Consider the following 14,105-nt stretch of genomic DNA (forward strand, 5'->3'; position numbering starts at 1 on the left):
TGTTTGTTTGTTTTTTAGTCAGGGTCTCACTGTCACCTAGTCTGTAATGCAAAAGTGTGATCATAGCTCACTGCAACCTTGACCTCCTCCTGAGCTTAAGTGTTCCTCCTGCCTCAGCCTCCTGAGTAGGAACTATAGACATGCACTACCACACCTGGCTAATTTTTTTTTTTTTTTTTTTTTTTTTTTTTTTTTTGCAGAGATAGGGTTTTGCCATGTTGCCCAGGCTGGTCTTGAACCCCTGGCTTCAAGCCATCCTCCCAATTCAGCCTCCCAAAGTGCTGTGATTACAGGCATGAGCCACTGCACCTGACAGGCTGAGGATCTAATGCACCCAGAACCCCCAGGTCACCCACAACCTACCCTTTGCCCTGGACATATTTGTCTTCCTATCTCCTTACTCTTTGTTCCACCCCTGACTAGATCTCTGTTTTCTTTCCACTGAATCACTCCCTAAATCCTGTACTAGCACATTCATCTTCAAGAGTCTTCAGTGCTCCGTAAAGCCAGCAGAATAAAGCTCAGATGCTTCCACGTGGCTGAGACCGGGCCACTTCCCAGACTCACCACCTCCCACATCAGTGCACATGCCCCATTTACCACAGGTGGTTGGTGCTTCTCCCACTCTGTAAGCTTTGAGTTCTCATTTCTGTGAACTTGTGTTATTGGTTCACATTAACTATGTACCTTCACTGTGCAGGTACCATGCTAGAGTATGCATATCTATTTGTGCATCCAGTCCCCAACCCTGGGAAGTCCGTACCATCATCATACCCACTTGACAGATGAAAACACAGAGGCTTGGGGAATAAAGACACTTGCCATACAGCAATCGAGAGAGGTGCAAGCCTGGAGTCTGCGTGCTGGAAGATTCCACCACACATAACTGCTTCCCAAGGCACTCACACATGGTCTGCACTTCACAGTGTTTGTTTATCAATACACGAAGAGTTTATATTTGTACTGTGGAAAAATGTGGATCAGAATAAAGTAAGCAACATCTTAAAATAAAATACCTTATTATTTTAAAGAACAAACATTTTTGATCGGGCGCAGTGGCTCACGCCTGTAATCCCAGCACTTTGGGAAGCCGAGGTGGGCGGATCATGAGGTCAGGAGATCGAGACCATCCTGGCCAACGTGGTGAAACCCTGTTTCTACTAAAAATACAAAAAAAAAAAAAAAATAGCTGGGTGTGGTGACGCACGCCTGCAATCCCAGCTACTGGGGGTGCTGAGGCAGGAGAATGGCTTGAACCCGGGAGGCGGAGATTGCAGTGAGCCGAGATCACACCACTGCACTCCAGCTTAGCGACAGAGCAAGACACCGTCTCAAAAAAAAAAAAAAAAAAAAAAAAGAACAAACATTTTTGAACAAGTAGTAAATGAGATCAAGACTCTTACCTAACTTTAAAACCTAGTTGAGTTTGTCTTCTTCAGCATAAATGCCGGCTCTACCACAAAATTGCTGGGTGACCTTGGGCAAATTGATTACCCTCTCTGATTCATGTTCTTCATCTATCAAATGGGAGTAATCATCATGTCCCATCCATTCTTCACTGATGAAGTACCCAGATAACCTGGGTACCACTGGCACAAGCACTTAATAAATACCAGCTATTATTATTCTACACTATGTCCTAAAGACATTGTTTATTTTGTCTGAATTTTAAAGTGGAAAATCCGGCTGTCTTTGCTCAAGCCTATTTTTAAAACTCTTGGGGAAATTGTAAAATATAAAGTTATTAAATTAAATTAAAATCATGAGCTTGCTTTGGTCGGGTGGCCAATCTTTTTGTTTTCTTCTTTGTGTCTCTGTAGGAAGAAGGGCGCCACTGTATGCCTGGGCTGCCATCAGCAGCATTGACTCATTGCTAAAAGAGGGGAAAGCTCAGGACTCTAAATCCTGAATCCTTCAGACAGTCCTGCCATTTCCCAAACATTGCACCAACATCATGAAATACTTTAAAATCAATAAAAATGCATGTGGCAGAAGGCAATTATTCATACATTATCTGAAAACAATAAAGGAAGATATACCTTCCATTCAATTTTCAGGATTATATATATTACAGGTGAGTATTTTTAGCAGACTTTTCCCCCTTTCTCTCTTTTTGCTCCAACTGTTAGTTTCATAGGGTCAGAGAGAGTTCAGTTGTATAGAGAAAGTACTAACTGCTGAATGGCTCTGTCAGGCTCCTGTATTTAAGGAGACAGAATTGCATATTACAAGAAAATGATTGTTCAGCTACCTTTTCATTAACAATTTGTCTACAAGGAGACAGGCTTAACTGCTTCTATTGAAGTTGGGAAGCAACAAATTGAATGTGTTCCATAAGGATTATGTCATACTTCAAACATATGGTGAGCTACAAACACCAAGATATCGTATTTGGAAATAGTGGTGGGTTCACTATTGTTTGGTGGCTGTTTAATTGAATAGTCATAAATAATACTTTTTTTAAAAAAACTTGTCATCTGCATAATCTCAAGTGAAATACTGTAATAATTTTCTTTTATATATGTTTTTGATCCTTGACACATTAAAGAAAAATGTCTTTTCTTTAGGGGAAACTACACTGAAGGTTATTAAGGAAACATCAGCTATAAAATGCATCCTAGGTCAGCTTCTTGTAATGGGGTTCCACTTTGGAGCACAGAGAAGACATCCAAAGGTGTGGAGGGGAAAAATTCTAGCTGAGCCCAGGGTTGATGCAGAAGAGCTTTCCCTGAATGCACCCCGAGATTGAGGTCCTGGGGTCAATAGGCCAACCAGGCTTCCTTCTGCCTCTGTCTACTGAACAGAAAATCTAGTCCCTCCACCTCCCACCCACAATGTTCCAAACTGAATGCTCGACATTTTAACACATCAAGTGACAACACTAACTTTAGACACTTTTAGAAAGCACCATGTCAGTGTTGGGTTGTCATCATGTATATGGCCAGTAAGTCCACAACAGGTCAAAGCCCTGGAACCCCAGCCATGGTTTCAAGGAGTCCAGGTTTATTATGTCGTGTCTGTGACACATGTCTCCACCAGGAAACCCACTCTTGCTCAGTAATGGAATATTATTCATGAATGCTCACTGTATATAAAGTTCATAGGCTTAATGCCAAAACAATATTCTGTTTTCCTACTTAATAGAAAGAGATCACTAATTACTAGTGCAGAAGGAAAAATACCTAATTCCACACAGAACAAAGGATACCCATGGAGGCCATGCTGGGCAAGGCTGGCTCCAAGTGTCAGCTACAGGTGTAAATGCATTGATAGAGAGGAAGAAGGGGAAGGTTGTTTTCTAACAAGTTTTTAAAGGTTGACCTGACTGTTGTTAAGATTACGAAGAAAGACACTGGAACAGTCATTCTCAACTCTTCAAACTCAATGCCCTCTTTTTATAACATGATTTTGTACATACCCCTTTACTGTCTTGAAATGTAATTCATATAAAAGATAATCTAAGACAATACTCATTAGGATGGCTACTATTAAAGATACAGGAAATAACAAGTGTTGGTGAGGATGTCGAGAAATTGGAACCCTTGTACACTGTTGGTGAGAATGTAAAATGGTGCAAACCTCCCTGGAAAACAGTAAGGTAGTCCTTAAAAAATTAAAAACAGAATTCCCATGTGACACACATCCCACTTCTGGGTGTATATCCAAAAGAATTCAAAGCAGGGTCTTGAACAGATGTTTGCACAGCCACGTCAATAGCAGCACTATTCACAATAGCCAAGAGGTAGAAGCAACCCACATGTCCATTGATGAATGAATGGATAAAAAGAATGTGGTATATGCATAGCATGCAATATTATTTAGTCTTTAAAAAATTCTGTTACATGCTACAATATGAATAAACCTTAAGGATAGTGTCCTAAGCGAAATAAGTCAGTCACACACAAAAAAACTAATTCTATATCATTCCTCTTATAGGCAGTATCTCAAGGAGTCAAATTCATAGAAACAGAAAGTAGAGTGGTGGTGGCCAAAGGTTGGATGGGAAGGGTAACAGGGAGTTGTTTAATGAGTATAAAGTTTGCAATGAGTATAAAGATATGCAAGATGAAAAGACCTGGAGGTCTCTTTCACAATAATGTGAATATGATTGACACTACTGAACTGTATGCTTAAAAATGGTTAAGAAGTTTTAAATATAGATAGCTACAGATAGATATAGATATTAACCTGTTTTATGTTACTATAACAAAATACCATAGGTAATTAGTAAAGAAAAGAAATTTATTTCTCACAGAGCCCTCGTGACCTAATCACCTCCTATTATGCTCCAGCCTCTAAACACATTTGCATTGGGGATTTCCAACACATCAATTTTGGGAGACACATTAAAACCATAGCATTCTGCCCCTGGCTTCCAAAATTCATGTCCTTTTCATAATGCAAAATACATGCATTTCATTCCAATAGCCCCAAAAGTCTTAACTCATTCCAGCACCAACTCAAAAGTCCAAAGTTCAGTCTTATCTGAATCAGATATGGGTAAGACTCAAGGCACAATTCATCCCCAGGAAAATCCCTCTGCAATCTGCGAGCCTGTGAAATTAATAAACTGTGTGCTTCCAAAATACAGTGGTGAGACAGGCATAGGACAGACATTCCCATTCCAAAAGGGAGAAATAGGCAAGAAGAAAGACGTGATTGGTCCCAGGTAAATCCAAGACTCAACAGGGAAAACATCAAGTCTTAAAGCTAATAATAATCCTCCCTGACTCCATGTCCCACATTCTGGGCACACTGGGACAGGGGCTGGACCTGTAAGGCCACAGGCAGCCCTGCCCCTATGATTTTGCTGGGCTCAGCCCACCCGGCCACTTTCATGGGTTGGAGTCTCATGCTTCCAGCTTTCCCAAACTGAAGTTGCATGTGGATGGCCCCACAGTTCTGTGATCTCTGAGATGGCCTTACTCCCATAGGTCAACTAGGCAATGTGGCAGCTTGGACCCCACATTTCGGCTCAGCATTGCCCTAGTAGGGGCTGTCTGTGTTGTCTCCACCCCTGGGAAAAGTTTCAGCCTGGGCCCTTGAGCTGTCAAATACATCCTTTGAAATGTACAGACCCCACAGTTTTTGCATTCTGTTCATCTGCAGAGTCAACACCACATAGATGTCATCAAGACTTACTGCTTGAGCCCTCTGGAGTGGTGGCACAAGCCATACCCGGACCCATCTGAGCCACGGCTGGGACAGCTGAGGAGTGCTGTGCCTGAATGCAGGGAGCAGAGTCCCAAGCATCTCTGAGCAGTGAATGTTGAAGTCCCACGGCAACCTTCCTGGAAACCTTCTCTGGAAGGCCCTGTTCTGGGCCTGTGATGGGAGGGGCAACCTGCTGAGCCCATCAAATGCCTTTGATGTCTTTTCCCCATTGTCTTGATGAATGGCACCTGGCTCCCTTCTATCCATGCTAATCTCTTTAGCAAACAGTCTCTTGGCCACACTCTTAGTTTACTCTCCTAAACATGCCTTTTCACTCTTTACATGACCAAGGCTGCTCATTTCCCATATATTTTGTTCTGCTTCCCTTTTAATTATAAATGCCATCTTTAAATCATTTCTCTTCATTCACATCTTACTATATGTGGTTAAAAGTAGCTATGCAGTTCCTCCAGTATTTTGCTTAGAAATTTCTTCCACCAGATATCCAAGTTCCTTGCTCTTAAATTCTACCTCCCATAAAGCCCTCAGTTGTGGACATGATTCAGCCAAGAATTTATAATAGTTCTTTGTGAATTTATAACAAAGATGGCCTTTACTCCAGTTTCCATTACTTTGTTTCTCATTTCCATCTGAGATCTCATCAGATTAGCCTTTACCATATCAGAAATGTTCATATTTCTACCAGTATTTTGATTAGGACCACTTAAGTAATCTCTAAGAAGCTTCAGACTTTCTCTACAAGTCTCTCCAGAATCATGCTTAATGGTCTGTTCACAGCAATATAGGCTGTTGCTTGCCTGCTCCTCCACATTTTCCCAGCATCTAGCCATTACCCAGTTCCAAAGGTGCTTCCACATTTTCAGGTATTTATTATAGCAACAGACCTACTTCTCAGTGCCAATCTTCTTTCTTGGCTCATTTTTTGTGGCTATAACAGAAAAATACAGACTGGGTAATTTATAATGAACAGAAATTTATTTGGCTGGTGGTTCTGCAGGCCAGGAGTCCAAGAGCATGGCATCTGATGAGGACTTTTGTGCAGCATCATCCCATGGCAGAGGTGAAAGGGCAAGAAGTATTGAGAGCAAAAGATCAAGAGGGGGCCAAAGGTTTTGTAACGAAGTCACTCTTATGATAACTAACCCACTCCTGGAATAACAACATTAATCCAGTCACGAAAGCAGTCCTTGTGACTTAATCAACTCTTATGACACCCTACCTCCCAAAACTGTTGCACTGGGGGTTGACAACACATAAACTTTGGGGAATACTTTCAAACAATAGCAATATAAATACATAAATTCTAACACAAATATGATTTTAGAAATAACACAATACCCCAACTGAAATAAAAACGTAAAAAGAAATTTATAGTATAATGTGCATAGAAATGTACATTATACACATTTAGCACAGAAATGCTCAGAAAAGCCAGCACTGGAGGTTGTAATGCAGGAGTCAGGTGCTTGCTGCTGTCCTTAGAATCTTCAAGAACATGACAGCCACAGAGGCAGACGGACAGGGCTGGGCTCCACTGGTAAGTTAACCACCACAGGTGACTTTCTAACTCCAGTGAAGTTCCAAGCAAAAGGATTTACACAATGGTTTCTTTCCTGGAAAATTTAGGGTACATCACAACTATTGGAATACAGGTTTACCCACATGAAAGTCCCACAGTACACTTAAAAAATTATTCAATGGGCAATACTGCCCCATGAATGCAGGATATAGAGTGTTCCCAGGCCATGCCTACTAAATGCAAGCAAAGCCCCCAAGTCTTTGTCACAATCAAAACTGCCCCTCCAAATTCCATAATATAGCACCCCCCAGGGAGAATCACCCCTAGAGGAAGCAGTGAGAATTGCCTCACTAAACTATGAGATCCAAAAAGAAAATCAAAGAATGAAGCCTTTTATTCAGGGCTCTGTCACCTGCCAATCAAACAGCTCAGGGCCCACCCCAGGCCATTGCCCAGGGGAGATTTCACCAGGTCTTAGAACACAAGCAAAGATTCATCTTAGCAAATCCATCTCAGAACAGAACACATGGATATAGGGAGGGGAACATAACACACCCGGGCCTGTTGAGGGGTTGGGGGAAGGGGAGGGAGAGCATTAGGAAAAATACCTAATGCATGCAGGGCTTAAAACCTAGATGACGGGTTGATAGGTGCAGCAAAGCACCACGGCACATGTATACCTATGTAACACACCTGCACATTCTGCACATGTATCCCAGAACTTAGAGCAAAATAAAAATAAAAACTCCATCTCAGAACAAAAGTTGGATTTTGGTTCTTAATTTTTTTGACATTCATTTATCTCCTCCTACACATGTTCTCTGTCCTAAAGAATTGGGTATTTTAAAGTTAGCTTTCTGGAGTTTTATTTTACTTAAGACTCTTGAAAATAAAAGTTTCAGGCTCAAAGGAGCGAAGCACTAATGGTGAAAACTGATGTCCTGTTAGATTTCTGAGAGAATCATCTCTGGTCTTCCTGATGACCCCAAATAATCCCATGCCTGGAGCCACCCATTCTGCCAAGATCTTGGCACTGATTCCGGACTGAACACTAACGTCCATGTATTTTCACTTGGTGATTGGCAGCTCCCTTCTTGCTTTGTTGCATTATGCAGCTGCCTGGAGGCTCAACTGAGCCACCACTGCTACAATGGCACACCCACCTTCTCCAGGTTCCTCTGGCCCATAGCACTTACCTGCATTCAGTGGAAACAGAAACAAAAGGCCTAAGGAGGAATGATGTTGTCAGAGGTGTTCGAACCAAAGCGACTCCATCTTGAATACTGGCTGGGTAAGACAAGGCTGAGATCTACTGGACTGCATTCCCAGGAGGTTAAGGCATTCATAGTCACAGGATGAGATAGGAAGTCAGCACAAGATACAGGTCATGAAGACCTTGCTGATAAAACAGGTTGCAGTAAAGAAGTCAGCCAAATACCACCAAAACCAAGATGGTGACAAAAGTGACCTCTGGTCATCCTCACTGCTCATTACATGCTAGTTACAATGCATTAGCATGCTAAAAGACACTCCCACCAGCGCCATGACAGTTTACAGATGCCATGGCATCATTAGGAAGTTACCCCATATTGGTCTAAAAAGGGGAGGAACCCTCAGTTCCAGGAACTACCCACCCCTATCTCTGTAAACTCATGAATAATCCTCCCTTGTTTAGCATATTATCAAGAAACAACCATAAAAATGGCCAACCAGCAGCCCTGAGGGAGTAGTCTATAGAGTATGGAGTAGCCATTCTTTCATTCCTCTACTTTCCTAAAAAACCTCCTTTCACTTTATGGACTCACCACGAATTCTTTCTTGAGCAAGATCCAAGAACCCTCTCTCGGGGTCTGGATTAGGACCCCTTTCCAGTAACAATGTCACAAAGAAAATAATACTTAAAACACCAATCAGACACTCATTAACATATTAACTACATGTCTTGCACATAAGGAGAGGGGCAGTGGGCTTCCTCACAGGAATAAGACTGCATAAGAAAGATGCTTTAGAGGTTCTTATGTCAGCCAGTTCTCCCTGTACTCATGTATTTAACATACATTTACTGAGCACATACTGTGTGCTGGTACTAAAACAAAAAACTTATTACAACAATAAGACCCAGTGCCCATGTCTACACAGTTCCAACTTGGGGTGCCGGCTGCCATAACAGAGCATCTGACTGCCGTAACATCATCTTCAAGAACACTGAGGGTAGGATAAAGACAGGAGTTAGCTGTTGGCAGTGAAAATGTCCCCAAAAATAAAATGTCTGAGATCCTGAGATAATGAGGGCAAAGGGGTTTTATGTGCCTGCATGACAGAAAACATTAAAAACTGTAAGCAAGTTTTGTGTCTAGACAGAGCCAAGTCGAGTCTAGGAACCATTATTTGATACGCAATTTTCTACTTAGCAGCACAGGTATGCAGAATTCAATTTGGGAGTGATCTGTATTCTATTCAGTTTCCACAATAGCATTAAAATGTACTCAGGAACAGGGGAATTTATCTTCCTGCAAATTCACTCCCTAGGGGTCCTGTAGCTCACCAATGGGTTTCAGTGCTAGTGAGGTGGGCGGCAGAACAGACAACAGTGAGAAATTACAGCCACAAATCGCCCGCATGAACCTTGCTGCTGGAGCTGCTGGCTTCTGCCCGCTCCTGTAATTGCAGACCCAAAACCACTGCCAAAAAAGGGATAACTAACCTGCAAAAAAAAAAAAAAAAAAGCTTCGCCAGCTAACCAAGGAGGTGGCCTCGCTCTAGTCTAGAGCAGAAAATCTTCTTTTCTAACATATTTCCTTGAGCTAAAACATTTTACCATTTCACCACATTTTATCATTTCTAACATTTGTATTATGTTTTGCAGTCAAGTTGTATTTGTTATATATGGTAGTATTTCTTTGTTTCCCTGCCAAAAATACTCTTATTAAATTGATAATGCATTTTACAATCAGTGTGCTAGTTTAGAATCAAGGAAATTCAATAATTACCGTGATTTAAAATGCCTTTCCATAGAACAACTAGAAACAAAGCTAAGAGGCTAAGCATTGCTTCCCACACACATCCATGTAATCAAATGTCTTTTGTTCACATCTCATCAGCCACCCAGAGGTTCAACTTTTGGAAGCCCCAGGGAGGTAAGTCTTCCCATTAGGCCTAATCCACACCAAAGCCCCAGCAAGGCACGTCGGCTGGCCATGCTTTCCCTAGGTAGAAGGCAGCCCGCCTCTCATTAGTCTTAGGGTACACTCAAAGACTAAGCCAGGTGGAGTCAAAACCCCTGCACTCATCCCCATATTCCAATTGTCAATTTTAAGAAAAGTGTGGCCCTGGCACCCTGACTTCTGCCTTTCCACAGCCAGTGGGGAGAGTGAGTTAGATGTGCCAGGGCCAGTGTTTGTCCCAGCAACCCCCCAGTGCTATAGACAGCTCAGTAGCAGCCTCCTCATTCAGCAAACGTCATGAATACCCAGGAAGAATTATACATTTCAATGATTCCATTCTGGGATGTCGCTAGTTCACTGGGAATCCCTCACTGCTTGATAGTTACCTTTAACCTCTCAAGTACTTGTTCATTGCTCCTTCATGGCTTTTAAATTTGAGGTCTCCCATCTGGGGCCCCGAAGGGGCTCACTAAGAAAGAATCAATGATGATAAGCTGTAAACATTTCCTTTCAAAGTCTTGATCCTAGAACAAGGTAGAATGTTTTTCTTTTCCTAACCACTCTAGGATCTTCACGACCAGCAGCTAAATGTGGAACAAGGTTCAGAGAGCTTTAGGAAGCACAAGAAACATCACTAGCTCTGGCAGACAAGCCTGCAAAGGCCAGGGGTGACTTGAGAGCTGAGTCTTGGTGAATCCACTTAAGGAGCTGTTAATAGCCCAGCAGTAACTCGAAACTGCCAAGAAGCGTCCATTCTCCATGGGATCTTGTTGAAGCCAGACATCTGTCACCACACCTACAGTAGCAACTGTCAAAGTGAGCAGTGAGAAGGGAGGAATGCAAAAAGCAGATCGTGTCAGGAAATGCAGTTTTACTGGTGGGGGGGCGAAAAAAAGCTAAAGGAAAATAGAAGGCTAATATTTGGGAGTCAAAAAACGCCAACTGGATGCTGCAAGGTACACATGGAAAAGGAGCCTAGGAACAAAAGCCACCCAGCAACTAGGAGCAGCCAGATGGGGCTATCGCATGACAACAAATGTCTATGTATTAGGTGCTGAAATTTAGAGATTTACTTGTTACAGCAACTACTGTGGCCCTAAATGAGATTTTGCATCGTCCAGGCGCGGTGGCTCACACCTGTAATCCCAGCACTTCGGGAGGCCAAGGCGGGCAGGTCACGAGGTCAGGAGATAGAGACCATCCTGGCCAACATGGTGAAACCCTGTCTCTACTAAAAATACAAAAATTAGCTGGGTGTGGTGGCGCATGCCTGTAATCCTAGCTACTCAGGAGGCTGAGGCCAGAGAATCGCCTGAACCCGGGAGTCAGAGGTTGCAGTGAGCCAAGATCGCACTACTACACTCCAGCCTGGTGACAGAGCGAGATTCTGTCTCAAAAAAAAAAAAAAAAAAAAAAAGATTGTGCATCAGGTGGGGCACAGTCACTCATGCCTGTAATCCCAGCACTTTGGAAGGCTGAGATGGGAGGATCACTTGAGCCCAGGAGTTTGAGACCAGCTTGCACAACATAGCAAGACCCCATCTCTACAAAATAATTTTTAAAAAATAGTCCAGCATGGCAGTGTGCACCCATGGTCCCAGCTACATGGGAGCTGCTCCATCCAATGAAGCCATCTGCATCTAGTCACTCTCCAGCCCAAACTCATGCCTTTCCATTATTCCTGAATCTCATCTTTTTCTACAAATATACTATGCATAGATGTGTTGCATGTGTGATTTAGATCTTTTTATATTGCCTTGCTACACTATGATTGATGCATAATCTTTTTTGTTGTTCTTAAGACAGGGTCTCAATCTGTCACCCAGGGTGGAGTGCAGTGGCATAATCACAGCTCACTGCTTCTCAACCACCTGAGCTCAAGCCATCCTTCCATCTCAGCCTCCCATGTAGGTGGGACCACAGGAGCATACAACCATGCTTGGCTAATTTTTTTTCTTCTTTTGTAGAGACAATGTCTTACCGTATTGCTCAGGCTGGTCTCAAACTCCTGGGCTCAAGCAATCTGCCCACTGGCCTCTCAAAGTGCTGGGATTAAAGGTATGAGCCACCTAGCCTGATACATGATCTTTTTTTTAATTTAACTTTTATTTTAAATTCAGGTGTACATGTGCAGGTTTGTTACATAGGTAAACTTGTGTCATGGGGGTTTGTTGTACAGATTATTTTATCACCCAGGTATTAAGCCTGGTATCCATTAGTTATTTGTCCTGGTCCTCTCCCTCCTCCTACCCTCCACCCTATGAAAGGCCCCAGTGTGTGTTGTTCCTCTCTATGCATCCACATGTTCTCATCATTTAGCTCCCACTTATAAGTCAGAATATGTGGTATTTGGTTTTCTGTTCCTGCATTACTTTGCTAAGGATAATGGCCTCCAGCTCTATCCATGTTCCCACAAAAGACATGATCTCATTCTTTTTTATGGCTGCATAGTATTCCATGGTGTATATGTACCACATTTTCTTTATCCAGTCTACCACTGATGGGCATTTAGGTTGATTCCATGTCTTTGCTATTGTGAATAGCTGATGCACAATCTTAATGAAGGTCTCTAAGTTCTCTAAGCCTCAATGTCCTCATTCATAAAATGAAGATACTAATAGCACTTTACAAGTTTGTTGTGATCATTAATTAGGAAGGAGGAGTTGGGAACATGAACCTGGAACATTATAATTCTTTTGGATTTGTTTTTGCCTTTTTCCAAAGAATAAAGGCTAAGAATGACCAGGAACTTCAAGAAGGTAAATCAAATTTAACATCACTAATAACAAGAAATTAGCTTGCTAGAAACAGATATGAGGGAAATAACACTTTTAAACACAGCTTTGTTCTACATAACAGGGGGCATTCCATCTTTGAGTTTTTTTCTTTTTTAGAAGTCTTTAGGGTTGGGTCCAGTGGCAATTGTGAAGTGCAGGATGTGAGGTAGAAAAACTATTGCTTAAAACCAGTTTCTCCTCTGCCTGTTGTTCACATGCTGGTCTTTTCCATTAAACCAGGCATATCCTCAGAAAACAGCCAGGAACTTTCTGGAAGGAAGGAATGAGAGCAGAAGGGATGAGTACCTCCTCCAGGTTGGGTTCCTGAAACCTTGCAAGTGGCTCACCTCCAACATTCTTTCTCCCCTTCCTGCTGACTGGAGTGCCAATATCTAGGGTGACCTTGAAAGCAACAACTGCAAAGCCATTGTCATCCAAAGTCCCTGAGTGACCACATGGAGCAGAGTCACTCATGAACCTGAAGGGCTCTCCTGAGAACCATTACAAACTCTGATGTATTATTCAGTGTCTCTGTTTTGAGCTCTCTTTGTTATAGCAACTGGTGCTACCCTAGCTAAAGCAAACTTACCCACCTTAGTATCCCCAGTGCCTACAACAGGGCATGGCTCTGTTCTTAAGGTGCTTAATGAATAGTTGTGTCATTGAATAACCCACATACAGTATCTATACCTGGGAGGCAACTCTATCCAGAATTTCTCCCAATTGTTGGGGGGAAAAATAAGATAAAATAAAACATACACCTCCCATTATGAAGAAAAAGATAATCTCATAAAAAATAAGAATGCTGATGTCTGCAAGTATCTGTTCCAGCCATCTGGAGGGTACATACAATCTAGACAATATCAACGCCTGAAATAGATATCTTCATTTCTTCCCCAGACAGTGTCTCCCTTCCTTTAAGGTGCAACGTTCCAAAATAATTTGAGGAAACCTCCCCTCCACCACTCATTGCATGGTTGAGTGAGACTGACTCCACCTACCCTGCCTCATTCAAGATTTATGTTGCATCTCCCTAGCCATAGAGATTGATTTGGGGATGGTTTGAGGAGTTTGGCTAGACCACAAAGTCTGGCCAAGGTATTAAAATTGAATAGAATCAAAGGTGTGAACTCAGTTCAAGATTGCTTTCACTTCTATATCCTACTGAGATAGCAAACAGTGCAAAAGATATTCCTAAGATAAAGTTACATGTACAACCCATGGGTTTCCTAGATACTGAAAGAGGCAGAATCAAAATTAGAAGTCAGTGCAGCCTTTGCAGAGTGAGCAATGCATCAGGTTAGAGTCTTCAGCCTGGAATTCATCACCCAGAATTCATCATTTTATACTATGAGGTCGGAGGGCTGCATCAGCAGACAAGGGCCTGAGTACTACCACAGAAGGAAACTGTAGCTGTAGTTTCCTATTCCCTACACTATGCTCTATGAGGCACTGGGCCTACAGTAGGCT

General features: G+C 42.3%; 1 annotated feature.

The window, feature by feature from the left end:
* Nucleotides 5,030–5,681: an enhancer, noted in NCBI's record as "OCT4-NANOG-H3K4me1 hESC enhancer chr5:10157229-10157880 (GRCh37/hg19 assembly coordinates)". NCBI's record gives its function as "activates a minimal SCP1, AML or CMV promoter by ChIP-STARR-seq in primed H9 embryonic stem cells {active_cell/tissue: H9 hESC(primed)}" and the evidence as "EXISTENCE:reporter gene assay evidence [ECO:0000049][PMID:30033119]".

This window comes from Homo sapiens, chromosome 5 (genome assembly GCF_000001405.40).
Source record: "Homo sapiens chromosome 5, GRCh38.p14 Primary Assembly".
Classification (NCBI taxonomy): Eukaryota; Metazoa; Chordata; class Mammalia; order Primates; family Hominidae; genus Homo; species Homo sapiens.